Consider the following 20,745-nt stretch of genomic DNA (forward strand, 5'->3'; position numbering starts at 1 on the left):
ACTTGAGGTCAGGAGTTCAAGACTAGCCTAGGCAAGATGGCGAGGCATGTCTCTGTAAAAAGAAAAAGGAAAAAAAGAATTATGATGTTTGAGTTCAACTTGGAAAGTTACCTTGAAAAAAACAAAAAAAAAACAAAAAACAAACAAAAAAACCCTGTCATTTCAAAAACACTCCTGCCTATCATCACCAAAAACGAAACAGTTCCTGTTCCCCCAGGAGTTCCAAAATACATGGTACCCAGCAACTTCATTCGGCACTTGCTACAAAATCCGTTTCTTTGCTGAGAATTCTTAGCCATTGCTGGAGTGAATGTAGCTAAGAGTAGAACTAGGATTACTGTAATAGTTACTCTGTTGAAGTGATCTAGAAAATGAGATGTGTTGAAGCGGGGAAGTGTTTGATTGTCAGGTCTAGAGGAAAAGAATAGGAAAAGTCTCCGAGCTTTGAATTTCCTGATGTTTACATAGTACAAAGGTTTATTAGAAGAGGCTGACGAATGTCTAAAAGGCTCAGTTTCTTCTATTGTATTTTCAAATAGCAGAGAAATAGCTTTATTTTTACTACTCATAACAGTTTATTTTTACTTTGTACAAAATACAAAAATGCAAATCCAAGGAGTACAGACCAGTAGTGACAGGCACACTGCACAACAGCAACCTTGTCTAGCAAGACAGGAGTTTTTTAAATTTTATTTTAGTGAATACATGCATTATATAAAACAACAACAACAACAACAACAAAAACACAAAGAGGCTAGAGATTTCACCGTTTCTACCACCAAAATAACGCTTGCTATCAAGACTTTGGAGGGGGATGGGGGAAAAGAATTTAAAAGGCAAATAATTTTTTTTTCATAAAAAGTAAAAGCTACCATAAAACATTTTTTTTTCTGTCACACTGATTAAATTTCTTCTGAAAAGCCGCACATATAGACAAAACAAAACAAAAATTCCTGAACTGGACAAACAGCAAATACTCAACAGGGTTGTTAACCTAGGTAACAGTTCAGTAGTTTAAAGAATCTTTTAGACATCTGGAAGCCTTTCTATTCATTCCTCAGTACAGTGTTCCAGCCATCCTGCTTGTTTTTTCCCTCCAATACCTCCCAGAACAGAAACACTTGCATCGAGTCTGTTCCTAAGAACTAGTTTTGAAAAAGAAGCGATGTACAAAAATATTTAACAGAACTATGAAAGATGCAGGAAAGGAGTCTTTCTTCGTAGCAAAGTAGTCGTTGCTTTGCATGGTTTCTTTTGTATACTCTTCAGGGTTTGTTTATCTGCCCCATGAATAACACAGCACCTACAGAATTAAAAGAAAACAATGCATGACTCTGTAAATTAATAATCCTTAAAATAAGATGGAAGGTATTCTATTTAAGGGAAGGGAAACAATCATGTTTGACCTCTTGCTCAGTAGTGTCCAGTATAACTTTCTGCAGTGGTAGAGATGGTCTATATCTTTGTTGTCTAGCATGGTAGCCACTAGTCACATGTGGCCAGAGAGTGCTTAAAATGTGGCTAGTGTGACTTAGAAGTTGAATTTTAATTTTATTTTTTATTTCTTGAGACAGAGTCTTGCACTGTCACCCAGGCTGGAGTACAATGGCGCCATCTCGGCTCACTGCAATTTCCGCCTCCTGGGTTCAAGCAATTCTCCTGCCTCAGCCTCCCAAGTAGCTGGGATTACAGGCACCCACCACCACTGCCAGCCAATTTTTTGTATTTCTAACAGAGATGGGGTTTTGCCATGTTGGCCAGGCTGGTCTCGAACTCCTGACCTCAGGTGATCCACCCGCCTTGGCCTCCCAAAGTGCTGGGATTACAGGCATAAGCCACCGCACCCAACCAGAAATTGAATTTTTAAAGTTAATGTTAAATAGCCACATGTGGCCAGAAGCTCCTCATTGGCTGGCTCAGTTCTGGGGCATGCCAATTAGAACATCACAGATGCAATGAGATAAGAGAATAAGGAACTATCTCATATTACTGATTAAATAAAATAGTAAAAGCTAAAATATATTAGTGCCTACTCTTGTACCAACAAGAAGCCAACCTCTCTACAAAGATGAACTTATACTTCATAATTGTAATAAGCAGTCAGCACTACTGTTGTCCTCATTTTAAAGATGAGGCTTAAGGCCAGAGCCAAGTTTGAACCATGACTCACAGAGCAAAAATCTACTGTATTAACAATTCCCAAGGTATAACAATAGAGTGGGCTTACAAAGTGGTATGGTTTGGCTCTGTGTCTCCACTCAAATCTTGCCTCGAATTGTTAATAATCCCCATATATCAAGGGCAGGACCAGGTGGAGAAAACTGAATCATAGGAGCAGTTTCCCCCATACTGTTCTTGTGATAGTGAGTGAGTTCTCATGAGATCTGATGGTTTTATAAGGGGTTTCCCACTTCACTCGGCTCTCATTCTCTCCCCTGCTGCCCTGTGAAGTGATGCCTTCCACCGTAATTGTGAGGTTCCTGAGGCTTCCCTAGCCATGTGAAACTGTGAGTCAATTAAACCTCTTTTTCCTTGTAAATTACCCACTCTAGGGTATTTCTTCATAGCAGGGTGAGAACAGACTAATACACAAAAGTTGAAGTTATATAGCTTCTAGCAAAATTGAACCACCACATTTATATAAATATGGAAAAGTCAATAGATGTCAAAAGTGTTCCAAAGGGATGCTGAGCCTCTCTGTTAAAAACAACAATCCGCAAAACCTAAAATCCTGTCAGTGTGTAAAAGATTCCATCACATCTGTAAACACAGCCTTTATTTTCCTATCTCTTTAACATGGGTGGTTATATTATTCAAAGTGTCTGCAACTATTGACATTAGGGAAATGGACTATGGGCACCACTGTTGGATATAATGAAGAGTGCAATATACCTTTTGAAATTCTAACAGAGAGGGCATGATGGAAGAGGAGAGTCACTTACCTGTAGGATTATGTCGGATGAAAAACAGAAAAGGTCTGTCTACTATAAACCAGGGAGGCGATGATCTTGCAATGAGAATTGCAGCTACGGGAAGAAAAGGAAAATGTGTTGTGCACATTACATGAGACCATGTAAGCATAAGGCCAGCAAGTTAGCTAGCTTCATGGACCCTCAGAGGCTGGTGTCTGAAGACACACTTCATGCTTGTTCCATAGGCTGGCCATGTTACAACAGGCTCAATGGTCACCATTTACTAAGCCTACCTTGGGCCAGGCCCTTTACATTACTCTCTCATGTCTTCTACACAAGCACCATCTCTGATAAACATACTTACTCCTCATAGAGTTTTGATGAGAATTAAATGACATAATTAAATGACATAAGATATATTATAGCTCTTAGAACAGTGTTTGCCACTAAACACATCTAATGCATATTTATTGTTATTAGCTATTTTTTATTCACACCATCTGCTTTGCTGATAAAGCCCCCAGTCCTTTTTTTTGGGGATGGAGTCTCACTCTGTCACCCAGGCTGGAGTGCAGTGGCGCGATCTTGGCTCACTGCAACCTTTGCCTCCCGGGTTCAAGCGATTCTCCTGCCTCAGCCTCCTGAGTAGCTGGGATTACAGGCATGCACCACCACGCCTGGCTAATTTTTGTATTTTTAGAGACAGGGTTTCACTATGTTGGTCACGCTGGTTTTGAACTCCTGACCTCAAGTGATCCACCTGCCTCAGCCTCCCAAAGTGCGGGCATTACAGGCATGAGCCACCGCGCCCGACCCCTGGTCCTGTTTAGCTTCTCTAAATCTTTTCTGTATATAAAGGCCCAGTCCAATTCTTAGCTTTTGTGTCTGTGCCTTCTCCTTTGGCACATTATTTAGGTTTCCTCTGCACTGGAATGTAGACCACTCATCCGGGACCTACTACCTTATACTGCTGTTCCACTCACCAGGTGTAGGCATCTGACTTGGAAAGCAAACTTCTTTAGCCTCATGGGTCTTGGCCATTCCTCGTCTGCCAGGCTTGTTTCCATTTAATAAGCCTGAACCAGGGCCTCACGGGAGGGTAGGTGTGTGGCATTACTACCACATGCCTGTTGCAATAGCTCAGTCCTCTTGCTCAAACCCCATGAAGTATTGAACACTTGGGCTTGATGTTATAAAGGAAACAGCTGCAGTTATGCTGGGGCAAGCCCTTTTACCCAGGGTTATTAAAAACAAATATTAAATAGCAGGTGTTATGGACTGAAATGTGTCTCCCCCCAAATTCATATGCTGAAGCCCCAAACCCCTAACGTAACTGTATTTGGAGATAATGCCTTTGAGGAGGTAATGAAGGTTAAGTAGGGTTCTATTCTAATAGGACCGTTGCCCTTATTTGAAGTGGGAGAGACACCAGGGATGTGTCACATGGAGAAAAGACCATGTGAGGACACAGGGAGGGGGCGACCTCCGGAGATCCAGAGATCTCAGGAGAAACAAACCTGCCAACACCAACACCTTGATCTTGAACTCGCAGCCTCCAGAAGTGTGAGTTCTGTTGTTTAAACCACTCAGTCAACGGTATTTTGTCATGGCAGCCCAGGCGGACTAAGACAGGAGGACCTGGGCGGTTACATGGGGCCCTGCACTGGGTTTAATACTCTGCTGTTGCTATCTTGAAATTCTTATACATTTTGAACAAGGGGCTCCATATTTTCATTTGGCACAGGACCCCACAAACTATGTAGCTGGTCCTGATAGTTACACTCAGCAAAACTGGTCAATAACTTTTAGATGTTACTTAAAATTACCTAGAAAAGACAAAAAGCATCTTAAAATTTCCAACCCTCTTATTTCAGGGTCTTTGTTTTAAATGCTTCTTTAAAGGAATTTTTAAAACGTTTATTCGAGAAAGGCAATAACACATCTATTGTGAGTATAACTGGTATGTTTCAATGACCAGAGATATTTGACCCAGCTGCAAGTGTAGCTAAGATTTTCACTTTATGGGCTCACAGAGTTGGCCAAATCTATTCATCTATTTTCCTACGGATAATGAGGGGTGAAAAAACTGACTTACGATTGTTCTGTTTTCTCCTTCATTATGTAAACCACTGAGGAGGAAGCAGATGTGGATGTTCTAATTATCAAGGAAGGCTGTACAGCAATCCTGCCGCAATTCAACAGATGCTGGCGAATTCTTCGGTTTATCCTGGATAGACCTGATTGCCTATTTTCCTTTAAGTACTTGTTGTTTATTTTATGTTCAAATCTGAAGATTGGTCTTTTTTGCCAGTAAGAAGCCAGAACATGTTTTATCCTCCTGAGAGCAGGGGTCAGCAAACTATTTTCCTCAAGGCAAGTCTACCAGGACAAATCCTGTTTTTATAAATAAAGTTTTATTGGAACACAGCCACATCTGTTTACTTGTATTGTTGATTGCTGTTTTCATGCTACAGTGAAAGAGCTAAGAAGCTGTAATGGAGATGGTATGACACACAAATCTGAAATACATACTACCTGGCTCTTTATAGAAGTTTGCTGACTCCTGTCCTAGAGGAATTTCTCTCACTGAAATGCTTTTCTTTAATGAAACAGATTCTGAGCTTTGTGGTTACAGGTCTTCAGTCTGTCTGTACTCACTGCTGTCTCCTGAGGGTTAACCCACACACACTGCCTGGCTGGAAAGAGGGTGCATTACATATTTGCTCAACCAATGAGTATACAGGAATGTGTTTGCTCCCCTGCTAGAGGAAGCCCTGCCACGTGACCCAGTGCTTACTTGTTGCTGCTGAAGCTTTGGTTCCATCTTCACTGACTTCAATTTTTGCTTTTTGCAAGATATGAGAAACATGGAGGTTTTCTGACCCTGCTTCCAGAAAATAAAACAGTATCAGCATTTGTTTGATAGGCAGGCCATTGGTTGGTTGGGGAAGTAACCTCAAAGCTCAAAGCCATGGCAAATTCCAATTTTTAAAGTGTCAGAAGACATGACCTCTGACAGTCCTGGTGTTGAAGGCTGCAGACAGCTGTTACTTGTGAATTTCAGTCCCTGCTAAGTGAACTGTGATACTCACTTCTGGAGAAGGGCCCAGGCCCTCAAATGATTTAGTGCCTCTATCAATTCAATTCTGATCACTAGAATTGTTTTTTAAAAATGAAAAGAGCAGAGCTTTAAAAAGGAAGCCCGGTTTTCTGGAAGCAGCAAGGCAACAAGATTATTTTTCAGTTACAGAATGCAGATGCAGAAGGGATTTCAGACAGCATTTACAGATGGGGAAACTGAGGCCTAGAACGTTAAGTAATGTTCCCTGCAATCATACGGCTAGTTAGTGGCAGAGTAAGTCCTGGCTCTTCACAACAGCCACTCATCTCATGGGCATGCTAGTAAGAGAAGAGTGTCGAACAAGAGAAGAGTTTAGATTTTCCTGGAAGGGCCGATGTGTAAATGCAGTTGTGCCTCAGGGACATTCTGGTGAACTCACTTTACTTCTCAGCAAATTCTGACCATTCCAGCAACACCCACTGGGTGTAGCTTTCACAGAGAATGAAAAACTTAAGTTGATATTAGTCTGGATGGGACATAGGTCTGGATGCAAAGGGAAAATGTGCTTTTTGTGTCATCTGCTTGTGAACTATCTGCACCAATGCCCAGCTCTAATATGACCAAATTGTGACTGAGATGCACATTTATAGGGCCCAAGTCACATGCAGTGTTAAAGAGGACTTTCCAGGAGAATCTGGGGCACCTGGTTCTTCCTGTGAACACCCCCCATTTAGTATTTCAGCTACCATGAACAACCTTGAAGGGAAAAGTGCAGATGAAAATGGTGCTTCTCAGTCTTTGCTGGGCTGAGGGACTGTGTTAAAATGGATTCTGGTTCAGTGGGTCTGGGTTACACCCAAGATTGTGCATTTCAAACAAGCTCCTGGGTGATGCTAATGCTGCTGGGCTGGAGGCCTGAGTTTGAGTCATGAGGGATGAACGGCTATCAGAATATCCATGGAGCTGCAGGTTCACCAGGGGAGTCATGTTTGTCCCCAGAACAGGTACTAGGTGTTTACTAGCATGCAACTGAAGCTGGTAATGAGCTAATTTCTTACCACTCAAAGTTATTTGCAAACTGGAGTGCAAATAATGTTCAAGCCATGGCTTTTCCTTGGAAAGATTGCTATGTTCTAAATTTAAAGAACAAAGGACTGACCATTCAAACATAACTCTAGAAAAAGGTACATATACTGCTGGCAAATGAAAAGCATGCCTTAATTGCTTTGGCAAAGGAAAGTTTTAATCAGATTCATTTGAATTTATATCGTTTCATATTAATGAGCATGAAATGCCAAAATACATATCTGGGTACAGTGAATGACTGCAGTCTTGACTTTTTTTCAAGCAAAAGGAAAAAGTTGGCATTTGAAAACAGAGCGACAACACCTAAGTCAGAGCCAATATTCATAAAAGCAATACATGAAATACTCCTTTAGGTAGTCACTGGGGCTTCCCATGAAATGTACGTGCAAAATGTGGGGACGCTGATTTAAATGAAGGTCAAGAGCAATGACTAGATAAAGAAAATGAGGTATGTACACATCATGGAATACTACTCAGTCATAAAAAGAATGAAATAATATCTTTTGCAGCAACTTGAATGGAGCTGGAGGCCATTATTCTAAATGAAGTAACTCAAGAATGGAAAACCAAATACTGTATGTTCTCGCTTGTAAGTGGGAGATAAGCTACGGGTATGCAAAGGCATACGGAGTGGTATAATGGATTATGGAGACTCAGAAGGAGGAGGGTGGGTTGGTGAGGAGCTAAAAATCTATTAATACATATTGAGTACAACGTATACTACTCGGGGGAGGGGTGTACTAAAATCTCAGACTTCATCGCTATATAAACTGATCCATGTAACCAAAAACCACTTGTATCCCAAAAACTATTGAAATAAAAAGATAAAAGGAAAAAATAAATAAATGAAGGTCAATAAATAAACGAAGGCCAATAGCATAATTTGGCAATGTATCAAATGAAACCTTGTACAGTTTCAGGGCAACACATTCCTAATTCTGATCCTTTTTCTCTGCACAAATCAGTCTCAGTTTGTAACACTTTCTTCAAGTATACAAATACATTTTAAATTGAACATACTTGTTATTTTTGCAAAATTTGCCTTTGATGAATCAAACATGTCAGTAATGCCAAGAACTTTCAGCGGCTCCTTCAAATCTGTTTGTGCTACAGCTGTGAACCTAGCATGAAAGCAGAAATGGAGAAAAAAAATCACGAGGCTATAAATGCTACATGATAGAGTCGGTGCATGTTTACAAACTGATTCTTTTAAAGTTAATATCTGAATACCGATCTGAATTGCATCTTAAATTTGAATTCCAAATTTAAATACCAGATAAGTAAAGGACAACTCCTCTCTCAAACACTTAGCTGGCAAAATGAGTCATATGTACTAACGGCAAGAATAGGCGCTCCCACCCTCAGGTGTAATGGGCCCCCTGTTCCAATACTTAGGAAGATCTACAAACATACTTTCTTTTATACTGACGTGGAGGTTGAGTGTTAACAAGTTCCTAGTACTCTGGAATATCTATTATTCTTCCCCATATCCAACTAAAGTTCTCCATATCCATCTTGGCTGCTCTAAGACCTGCCATCCTTATTGGGATTGGAGATGGTCAAAAGAGAGGAGAAACATTCCTGATAGTTCATTTTGGGATTCTTTTTTTTGAGACAGAGTCTTGCTCTGTGGCCCAGGCCAGAGGACAATGGTGCAATCTTGGCTCACTGCAACCTCTGCCTCCTGGGTTCAAGCAATTCTCCCGCCTCAGCCTCCCAAGTAGTTGGGATTACAAGCACCCACGACCATGCCTGGCTAATTTTTTATATTTTTAGTAGAGACGGGGTTTTTCCATGTTGGCCAGGCTAGTCTGGAACTCCTGACCTCGTGATCCGCCCACCTCGGCCTCCCAAAGTGTTGGGATTACAGGTGTGAGCCACCACGCCCAGCCCCTTTTGAGATTCTGAAAGTATTTTACTATTAAAACAGGAGCAAAGATTAGGCATAGGTGACACGGTATTATATTTGGGTATAATATAGGTTTCTTGAATATTTGTGACCTACTTGGCCTTGGGGATATATGGAGATATATGCACACACACACACACACACACACGTATATATATGTGTGTATATGTGTGTGTGTGTGTGTGTGTGTGTGTGTAAATGTCAGTTACTGTCATCAGAGGATGCTTTATCAGATTTGATCTCATCCTGTGGAAGAGCACTAAGGAGACGTGGGCAGATTCTCACCACAGATGGGCTATAATGGTAAAGAACCTGTTCTTCACCCATTGAGGCCTACGATGCCACCATCTTATTTATTTATTTATATCAAGCATTGCCTACTTGAAGGCTTATTTTACAAAAAAAAAAAATCTTGAGAGAATTAGTAATACTTATTGTGAATGTCTTACTCTGATTACTTAACTCGGTGACCAAAGAATCAAAAGCTATTAGAACTCTCCACTACCACCAAGACCTGGGTTGTTAAAAGCTCTGGATGGTGGGAAGGCAGCAATGTTGAAAAGTTCATAGAAAGGGAACAACATTCATTGCTTCTTCACAGTTCTGGACAAAGCATTCTCTGACCTGTTAGAACATGAAGATTCATACAGGATTTGGGGTTACTTTTCCCATGGCTTCAAGTCATAACAGCTCAAATTCCATCTTTGTCTTACTCTTAGGGTATAATAGAAAAACTGGCTGCCTTGGTCTTCATGAACTTCTAGTTAAATAAATAAATAACTAAAATGAAGCTCCTTATGAAAGCACATGGAGTTCTATTAAACCTCACTGTACTTTCATCCATACTATGATGACACACGTGTGTTTTCAGTCTTTTAAATACAATGAGATATGTCAAAAAGCCCCTGCAGTACCATGAACTGCTTATGCTCATGTGGAGGTTTAGAGACCAAGGTTGCCCTCTCTCCTTTCTTATGATCCATATCTTACCATACAGGAAGCACAGGCATTGAATAAAAGCGTTTAGAAAAGCACGGCCTCGTAATCCCACCATGAAATTTCTGCAGAACAGAACAGGCTTCATGATGTGCCATATTTTCGCCTCATGTTGTCTGGTGTCCGACATAACACCTGCTGATTGAATAATGCCACTGTTTTCTTTGAGGGGAAGGGGCCACTTACTTGGGCAGGATCACCTGCACCCTCTTGGGCACCATGATGCTCATCCAGCTGTCTATGGTCTTGGTGCTGATGTGTGGGATGATGGCAGACAGCGGAGTGGAGCTCTCAGTCGGCAGTGCAATCAGCATGCTGATGCTTTCCCCGTGGTAGGGCAGTTCAATGAAGTTGTACCATAAATCATTGGGGGCACTTGTCGACCCTAAAGAAATCAGAAGCAGGTTCAGTGTATCCTTGTTGACTTCTAGAAGCAGGATGAGTGCTTGCTGGTCACCGGGATAGCTTCAGAGAGCAACTCAGTTGGAGAACTTCCCTTTTCCACAAATAGCTTCCTTAGAAGGACAAAGACAAGGACAATTATTTCTTCCTTCCCCAGTGAAGAATTCTCCTTTCTTCAGTCTAGACAGAATGCCTTTGGGAATCACTGAAATCACTTTAATTCTGTTAAGGAGAATTTAACTAAATCACAAAGTGCTTAAAATTCAGTGCTTTGCAAGAAGTTGACCCTCACATGAATAAAAGAATACATTCAAGCTGCCTTAGAATCATTCCTTTTTTTTTTTTTTTTAAATAAAGTGTATTGTGTATATTAAGGTACACAATATGACGTTATGGGATACATATAGATAGTAAAATAGTTACTATGAAAAAGCAAATTAACATATCCATTATCTCACATAATTACCCATTTTGCTGTTTTTGGGACAAGAGCGGCTAAAATTTACTCATTGAGCAGGAATCCCAACATGGTGCAATTTTATTACCTCTAGTCCTCATTTTGGATAAGCCTACATGTGCAGGTGAAGAGAGACAGGGATACAGAGCATCCACAGGGCTCACTCTGTGCCAGGCCCATATCAACCCTTCAACAGGCTGAGGATCTACAGCACCTCACGGGGTAGGCGTAAGCAGTGCTATTTTGCAGTTGAGAAAGCCACCTTTAGAGAAATGAAGTAACCTCCAAAGGATGCACGGCTAAGAAGTGAGGAGCCAGGAGAGTCTAATGCCAAGGATTGTCTTCCTCCTACTTCACCACCCTGCCCTATTCACTCTTCACCCATTCCAGTAATCACCACTGGAGTTTTAGATACTTTATGGTACTTCTACTTACTAATGAAAACCCAAGAATAATTTAAGCCAGCATTTCTCAAATGTTATTTGGAGAACAGTCTACCTGCAAGATGCTCTATAGACAAAACAGATTCCACATCTTAGGGAGTTCAGCAAACAAGAAGAGAGAAAGCAAGTTTCTTGCACGATTTTCACTGATCTTTTCTTTGGAGATGACATGTGCCAATCACTGCCTTTGAGACAGGGAACTTCAATATGCCAGTTCTCCATAGAACAGGGTTGGGAGGGATGGACAGAGGGAGAGATGAAGAGAAAGATACCAAGAGAGGGAAAGAGAGTGTACTTGATGAACACTGAAATATCATAAAAATACTGAGGTTATTAGAATATATGGCACCACAGGATGACACTACAGTTTTTCCCTAAGGAAGAAACAACATAGAGAACTGGCAGAGGAACTGGGGCTCTCCTGGTCCTAGCACACTGCATTTCCTGCAGGGCTGTTCAGTAACCCGGGTGCAGCTCGCCTCAGCTCCCATGTGTGTTGAACTCTCACCCAAGCCTGGCTTCTGTCTTGCGGCAACCTAAGAATGAAAGAGAGGATTCTTCGTCTTTACTCTTAGCCTGCATAACAAAATGGTCTCAGCAGAAACGGAAAAATCAATGGGAAAGTGAGAAAAAAATCACTTCCTAATGAGCTCTTTAATCCTTGAAGAAAACATTAAATCTCTATTCTGGCGGAGCTAATTTTCAGAAACTGTGAAATATGGGAAGTGGTTAATAAGTGATTGCTCCAGGGCATGAAATAAGGACCTGGAGGTGTTAACTGCTTCTAGAAATGTTTACTATTTCTGTTAAGGAGGATTGAAGTAATGAATAATGAAAAGTTATGAGCTGGAATGTGTTCAAGGGAGGAGAGAGATCATCTAGCTTCACCAGTTAATCCATCCTTGGCTGGACCCATTATTAACTGATCAGTAATATTAATAACCATGAACCGCATCCAGTCACCTCTGCTTGATGACTGATTTCCCCCCACTCCTTCTGCTTCTGACCACAGAAGCTGATGACCAGTGGTAGCCAGGGTGCATCAGACATACGCATGCTTACCTTTATTTGGTGCCTTGAGGAGCTGGGAGATAAAATAACACCTTTTCTGTCTTTCTACCTGGTCACTCAAGTACTGCATCCTTTTATAGAGGACACGTGCCAAAGCCACGAGATCTGGGGTTATAAGACCTGTATTCAAATCCTGCACTTGTAGCACACTAGCTCTGAGACTTTGGCAAGTTCCTTGACTCCAAGTCTTAGTTTCTTTATCTGTAAAAGCCTACAATAATAGCACCTACTTTACAGAGCTATGAAAATTCATTGAGACAACACATACAAAGTGCTCAGCATAAGCTGGCCCATAGCAAAAACTGCCGTCTTTTGATGTAAGAAGCTTTGTAAAATACCTCACTTCTTGCAATGTGAGGTCCCTGCTCACAGTCTAAACACAAAATCGGCCCACCCAGGTAAACTACATGGAATATTACGTAGCTGATAAAAGCACAACTCCCAAGCAGAATGAATCAAGTAAGGAAGGGGACTTGGGAGCCTTGTGTCAGAGCATGGAGCCTCTCATCGTCCCAGAGCTTTTCCCTTTAAAATCCCCTACCCGATGCTCTCTATTCTTTAACCTCTGGAAGGCAGACTGAGTATTCTTTAACAAGGGTCATTTCTGCAGTGTATAAAAACGTAAGTATAATAGGTTGATTCATTCTGAAAAGGAGCGGAGGTGAAAAAGAGAAAATAAGGATTTTCTCTTAGATGAATGGTGGTCAACAAAACTTCTAATGGGAGACAATAAGTGAAGAATCAAGCATTAAAAATGTGGAGGAGATTTAGAACTTTCTCTAAGTGGTGTTTTGGGTGACCCAGTTTTTCCAGAAAGCCCCTGAAGTAATCTGATTTCCACTTTAAGTGCTACTAGGGAAGACGTAACTAGGCTCACTGAAATGTTAAGAGCTCACACTGTAAAATCAAAGAGGGTATCTTAAATATTTAATATCAGGAAACCTTTATAGATGAAAGTCCCTCTAATTACCTTCTACTACAAGTAAATATGGATTTCCTGAGGACTTAAGAAACTTTTTAGACTGCACTTTAGTAGAAATTGAAATGGATATTTTGGAAAAACAACAGCAAAATGCTCCATCGTGTGCAATACTCTACATTCTAGGCTGGAGTCCAAAGGGAGTTCGGGGACAGTAGCTGGGGAAGGAGGGGTGGCGTAAGTAACTGGGTGAGTATTGGTGCCATTTGCTGCTAAGGAACGATGGGTTGAGAACTAAATGGGCAAGGGCAATACATATATTTATTTACTGAGACAGGGTCTTGCTCTGTTCCCCAGGCTGGAAAGCAGTGATGTGATCAGGGCTCACTGCATCTCAACATCCTGGGCTCAAGTGAACCCCCGACCTCAGACTCCCAAACAGCTGGGACCACAGGTGAGCACCACCATGCCTGGCTAATTTTTAAACATTTTTTTGTAGAGACAGGGTCTCGCTATGTTGCCGAGGATCATCTTGAACTCCCAGGCTCAAGCCATCCTCCTGCCTCAGCTTCCCAAAGTGCTGGAATTACAGGTGTGTGCCATGGTGCCTTGGCATAAATGAGTTTCATCTATGCAACTAGAATTTAGTAGGCAACCAAGTTAAGACGTAATGTGAACAGACAGGTATGAGTTAGAAACTCAGGAGAAAAGAAGATGGAAATATAAATTTGTTATTCTTCATGTTTTTTTTCCAAAATAAAGTCTCAAATGTCTAAATTCATAACCATAAAACATTTGTAACAACTATGACTTGGAGATTCCTATTCCATTCCTATTCCTATCCCAGGAAATTACCTTTAGAAATTTACTGATGCAAATATTGAAAAACCTATGTACAAGAATACTCACTGCAGTGTTGTTATAGGAAAAAAGCAGATGGCTTTCCATAGGATAGCATGATACATTTGTATTATGGAATATTATGTGGCTGATAAAAGGATCAAGTAAATCCTTATGAATTGGCACAAAAAGTTGTCCACTCTCTAATGAAAGCAGATTATAGAACAGAAACTACAGTACAATCCTATGTATGTAAAAAGTTTCATAGACATATTTTACATATACCTAGAAAGGTTCTCAAATGACAAACTTGATACTTAATAGGGAATTTTATCCTAGGAAATAGGATTTTAGGGGAACTTTTGGTTTCTGCCATATATATTGTACATGGAGGTATACTGAGGATTTTGCAATGAGCATGAAATATAAATCTACTAAAAATGATTTTAAGGCTTCTCTTTTTCTTAATAGAAAAGTTTCTACCCTTGAAGTACTTCTACTTTATGGGGCATAAATCAGAAGGGTTTTCTTCTCTTCTAGTTTTCACTCTCTTTTTGTTATCAAGCAAATATTCTCAGAGCTCTTAATGATATCTTGGGGAAAACAGTCAAGAAGGCAGATAAACTGAATGACAATGTTTTGGCAAAGTGACCCAGAATAGTGAGGCGTGGCTGAGGCCCAGGAAGCATCCGACAGGTGGCACCCTGGGCCCTGTGAGTTTGGACACAGCAGCTCGAGCTGGGCCACTCCTGCAGGTCAGAGTGAGGAAACAGGCAGAAAATGACGGACAGTCTGTGGAAATGGAAACAATCAGCCACTTGGGGACACCACAAATGGCGGTACTTTCTTCACAGCCCTGTCAAGACAATCCTTCCCTATCTTATCATGATAAGCTGGGTTTTGGCCAAGGCAAGAAAACAGGGAACTTATGACACTCTCATGCCCTGCTGCATGGCCCAGAACAGAGTCGCATCCAGTTCCAGGTTCCTCAGTGAAACCTGATGACAGGCATGGAAAGGAGGGTGAGAAGGGTGAGCTAAGCTGTTCGCCGTGTTTACTTGTGAGGGAATGAGAACAGGAGTGAGCAGCGGACTTTCTTTTTCTGGTCCGAATTAGGTACAGATCAGTCAGGGTGGAGAGTAAACAGATAAGACATCAAATTGGGCCATTTAAGCAGAATTTGATGAAGGACCAGTTGTAAAGCATAGACAGGATACAGAGAAACATGATGGACAGTACCCTGGACAAGAAACGGTGGGCACCATGGCTAGCCTTGGGCTGGGAGGGAGGAAGAGAGGGGTGGTGACCCAGAGAGAAAGAGCTCTTGGGCACACCCCCTGGCAGAAGCTGAAACCTTTGGTAGAGGAATGCAGCTGGCCCATGACTCTGTAAGGGGGGGCTTGGGAAGTTAGTACCCTGACCCCTTTCTCCTCTGTCCTTCCTATCGCCTGCAGACTCCCAGCAGCAAACCCAGCAAGAAGAGAGAGGGCAAGGGGGCCCAGAGCAGGGTGGAAGCGGGTAAAGAAGAGAGGCATGAATCGGGGAAAGTGGAGGGAAGATACCAACACACTGTGGGGGTTCTGTAGGGTTTAAATCTTTGACAATAAGAATGTATTTGTGCATTATTTTCTATAAAACACACATGTATATTCCTAGGCAAATCAGTTTCCAAATGAAAAGCTACCCTGACATGTAACTCTCTGGGAATAGCCTGTTTACTCAAGAAATTCATGTTATATTTCTGTAAAAACAAACATTTTAAAATCTTCCATAGGAATGTTAATGGAATCCTTGCATTTTAATCTTGAACTATTAACTTGTTTTTTTTTTCAGCAAGAGAAACATACAGTAAATGAGGGCCCCCTCACTTTTTATTTTATTTTTTTATGGACTATAAAGTGTGTACAAAAGATTGACCTAAAATAAAATCACTTCATTGAAACACTAACACGGCCACCGGCTCATATCCCAGGCAAAGTGATTTTAGAAGTTCATTTGAGCCTGGTGCGGTGGCTCATGCCTGTAATCCCAGCAGTTTGAGAGGCCAAGGCAGGTGGATCACTTAGGCCCAGGAGTTCAAGACTAGCCTGGGCAACGTGGCAAAACCCCATTTGTACAAAAAGTAAAAAAATTAGCTGGCCGTGGTGGTGCATGCCTGTGATCCCAGCTACATGAGAGGCTGAGGTGGGAGGATAGCTTGAGTCCAAGAGGTCGAGGCTGCGGTGAGCCATGTTTGTGCCACTGTAGTCTAGCCTGGGTAACACAGTGAGACTCTATCTCGAAAAAGTTTTTTCAAATTCAGAAATAATTTTTCTGAAATCCTACCATTAATATTTTTTACTGAAGATCCTCTGAGACCTATCTCTATTGACGTGTGAATATAAAGAAAAGAATTTTACATAAGCGAGATTGATATCTGCTGTTTTATATCTCGTTTTCTGAAATCAATCATATATTGCATAATCTTTCCATTTATATAAATCTAAGTCTCATGATCACATACGTTCCACTGTATATTTGTATTTGGCTTCTATTTATTTGTCATTGTGTGCTTATGTTCACAGTATAAATTCCCTGGAGCGGGACTGCTGGAGCCAGGACCCCGAGGAAGTCCTCGGACCACAGATCCCTGCCACGAACAGTGCCCAAGGGTCCTGCTTCCTCCCCACCAAAGCCACCGAAGGATTTTACCAATGTTTTTAATTTTTGCTGATCTGCTAAGTAAAAAAAGAAATCCAATTTTTAATTTGGTAATGTAAGACTGCTAATGAGTTGCTGTGTTTAATGCTCACTTATACTCATTTCATGAATTGTCCTTTCATCTTTAAGTTTTCAACCAAAAAGCCTACTACACACGCCATGCATTAATACTTTTTGTACATAACTTATGCATATATTATGCATATTATGCTATGCATGGTAACTTTTGTACATAACACAGATTTACATGAGCTTTATAAAAATCCTGCCTCTCAGCACCCTGCTCTGTTCCCCAGTTTTTTAAAAGATGAAAAGTTAGATTTGCTCTGGAATTAAGTTAAAGCACTCAAGGGCCTTTCTGCCGCCAGCACATCCTAGAACAGGCTTCGCTGAGCATGAACTCACCACACCGGAACACGGAGAGCTGGGCCAGCATTGGCACTTGATAGGATTTCCCGTCGGCTGCCACGAAAGTGCGTTTCTTTGTGTTCTCGGGTTGGAACCGTGATTTCCACAGACCCTTGAAATACACTGCGTTGACGAGGACCAGTCTGGTGAGCACACCATCAATAAGATCTGGGGACAGCAGATTGTCAATCATATCTGTGAAGCCAAAGAACAAACAAGGGAAAAATAACCTCAGGACTGGTGGCCGGCTTGAGGGCAAATGGCAGCTGTCATCAGGTAGACTGAAAAATCAAAGGATTTTTAAGGAGTGTTAAAGAGAATCTTCTTAAACTACCCTTTTGTACTTTCTAGGTTCCCCTCCCCCACTAAATATTAAAGTTAAAAAGAAGTTAAAAGAGAAACAGAAAAGACTTTAGAAACCCCTAGCTAGGGGTTACAAAACTTTTCATCAAGAAATTCTTTTATTATCAATTCCCTGCAAGTCCAGGCTTTAAAAAAATCTTACTCATCCAAATAAGCTACATTTGATAATGAATTATTTCTTCTTCTTCTTTTCTTTTTTTTGCCAATAAATGACTGATAGTAAGGGTTTCTGGTCAGTACAAGATAAACAATTTTGTTTTGTTTTGCTCCACTTGGTTTAATTCAATCCCAGTCAAAAATAAACACTTCAGCCTGTATGTTATTAAGGGTGAATGCTTCATTTCTCTTAAGATTTTAGAAACATCAAACATTATTTTGGAATCTCTGGGTATCACAAGGCCTCCTAACTGCTTAAAGAAGAAAGGAAACAAAAAATCAGTGTCTTTGTTTATGGGTCAGGCATCAAGCAAGGTGCTAATATTAGAGACAACAGAAGAGAGGATTTTGAATGTTCCCACCATAAAGAAATGAGAAACGTTTGAGGTAACTGAAATGTTAATTACTCTAATTTGATCATTACACATTGTATACATGTATCAAAGCATTACCACTGTACCCCATATATGTACAATTATTATGGGTCAATGAAAAATAAAATAAAGCCCAGGCACAGTGGCTTATGTCTGTAATCCCAGCACTTTGGGAGGCCGAGGAGGAAGGATCACTTGAGGCTAGAAGTTTGAGACCAGCCTGGGAAACATAGCTAGACCCCATCTCTAGAAAAAATAAAAATTAAAAACATATTAGCCAGCTGGGTATGGTGGCATGCACCTGTAATCCCAGCTACTTGGGAGGCTGAGGTGGGAGGGTCGCCCGAGCCCAGGAGTTCGAGGCTGTGTTGAGCTATGACTGCACCACTGCACTCCAGCCTGGGTGACAGAATGAGACCCTGTCTCTAAAAAAAATAAGATAAAATAAATCTTTAAAAAGACAGAAAAAATTAAGGTCTGTCCTAGAACTCCTAATTTTGAAGGAAAATGCTCTTTACAAGACGTTGGGAATGGTCCGTCTTACTTGTATCAGGAGTGAAGGAGTGAACACAATTCTTCTCATTTCAGGATGCTTCCAAAATGCTACCCGTGGCTGAAAGAGCCTTCCAAAATGCTACCTGTGGCTGAAGGTTTGGTCTTCCAGTTAGCTTCCTTTTATTATACAGTTATTATACAGTTAGCTTCACAATTATTCTGAGGTCTTTGAAGGTTCAGTTGTGTGTGTGTCTGTATGTATGTGTGTTTTTAAATAGGGATCAGTAATGCCCAAAGCTATTAAAACTTAGTTCACTGCATTATTAGCTCAAATATATGTGTGTGTGTGTGTGTGTGTGTGTGTGTATGTGTGTATGTGTATAAATACATAATATAAATACAAGTTATACTACTTTAAATGGTGAGAGTAAAACCAACAGCTTTTGAAGAAGCAAGAATATCTAATTCAGGGGTGAGAGTATTAAGTCCTTTTAAATGAAACTCAAGAGGATTCTGATGTACAGTAAACAAGTGTTTACATAAATCATGATAAATAAACACTGAAGTTTCCCACAGCGTGCTGCTAAGACAGTTCCATCACCACTCACTACTTCCACAAGGGGGCACTAACGCCACCTTAAGTCAGGACAAAGAAGGAAAATATCTAAGCCATAAACAGACATCATTCAACTCAACACAAAGCTGGCTGCAAACAGACTGTCCTGTGGGAGCGAAGTTAGAACTTTATGCCATCCCACTAGCAAGCTCATAATTGACTTCCTAATAGTGAATGTTGTTTCTTGCCTCTGCTGGGAACATTACCCAGTTCAATTCCTACTTGCCTTTAAGACATAGCTCAATGGTCCCCTGGACTTCTAAATCTTCTCTGATCATCCTCGCCACCTCCTAAGAGATGTCTCTGCTCCCGATTTCTGTAAAGCCCAATGCCTGGCCCCACCATGACACCTGCAGTATTTTATTCTAGCCAATTTTAATGTGTCTGTCTCCCTCAGCTACACTGAGACCTGCATGAGACTCTGCCATTCACTTTTTGCTTACTCCTAGCACTACATGGAGCATACAGGCAGTGCTCAATAACTGTCTGTAGAAATGTCCTTAGCCCCTTTTTACAGAGACAAATAATGCCTCCAACTGCCCCTGGGAGGACTAAGATATAATAAGGGGACATGAAGAAATAAAAAGAAAATGCATAGTTTAGAGGCAAAGAGGCACATGGAAACCTGCCATCAGTAACTGCCACAGACATGCATCTATCATCCGTCCGTCCATCCATCCATCCATCCTTGGATACCTACCTGCCTACCATGTGCCTGGTACTCTCTTAAATAAGAAACCAAGAAGGAAATCTGGTCTCAAAAACTACGAATGAGAGAGAGGTGCAGGCTGACATAAAATAACTTGGAAAAGTATACAGCTGCAATTTAAATAAATATCTGGAAGTGGAATTACTCAAGGCTATGGAGGGCTAAGAAGGTGACCTGACCTAGTTGGTGAGGTCTGAGATGGACAGTACCTCAGAAATGGCTATAAAAATAGCTCACACTGGTTGAACATTTACTAAGTGCAGAGTCCTTTGCTAAATGCTTTCTATGTATTATTCACATCCTCACACCAGCCTTAATTGTTGTTAGAATTATTTGAATAGGTATCACTATTACATCTCTCCATTTTACAGACGAGAATGCTGATGCAAAGCAAGCTTAAATAACTTGCCCAAGGTTATACAGGTAGTATGTGGCAGAACCGAGATTCAAACTCAGAATGTGTGCTTTTAATGTTCATGCCTGCCACTCATGGTATGGTACAGAAATGAGTTGGCCTTAACCAGGGAAGAGGGAGAGAAGGCAGCAGGAGTGTATGTGTGCGGTTCTCCAACAGGAGACAGGATGGTGGGTAAGGGGACTAGGAAGAGGCCTGTGTGGCTGGAACATAGAGTACAAGGATGAGTGAGTCTGCAGAGGTCAACAGGCCAGACCCATCCCTGATGGGTCTCCTCCTGCAAAAGGCCTGCGCGTTGGGCTCTCCCACTCTCTGTAGGGAAGGAACTATCATTTCCGTGAGACAGACCCAGCAACCTTCCAGACACAAACAGTTGAGCTCCAAGTCACTTCTGAGCTCTACCATGTGGTCAT

At 41.2% G+C, this 20,745-nt stretch overlaps 1 protein-coding gene across 7 annotated transcripts in view; it reads right to left on the reverse strand.

The window, feature by feature from the left end:
- SERPINE2 (serpin family E member 2) overlaps positions 444 to 20,745 on the reverse strand; it is a 64,242-nt gene continuing 43,940 nt past the window's right edge. For 3 of the 7 annotated variants that reach the window (NR_073116.2, NM_001136528.2, XM_017004332.3), the window contains 6 exons: positions 17,202 to 17,399; positions 10,151 to 10,349; positions 8,080 to 8,180; positions 5,710 to 5,796; positions 2,943 to 3,026; positions 444 to 1,303 (listed from right to left, as the gene is read on the reverse strand). Coding sequence is in view for 6 of the 7 variants with exons in the window: in NM_001136528.2 (NP_001130000.1) it covers positions 1,266 to 1,303; positions 2,943 to 3,026; positions 5,710 to 5,796; positions 8,080 to 8,180; positions 10,151 to 10,349; positions 17,202 to 17,399 (707 nt within the window). In the remaining variant the exon portion in view is untranslated. 7 annotated transcript variants of the gene reach the window in all.

Source organism: Homo sapiens, chromosome 2 (assembly GCF_000001405.40).
Source record: "Homo sapiens chromosome 2, GRCh38.p14 Primary Assembly".
Classification (NCBI taxonomy): domain Eukaryota; kingdom Metazoa; phylum Chordata; class Mammalia; order Primates; family Hominidae; genus Homo; species Homo sapiens.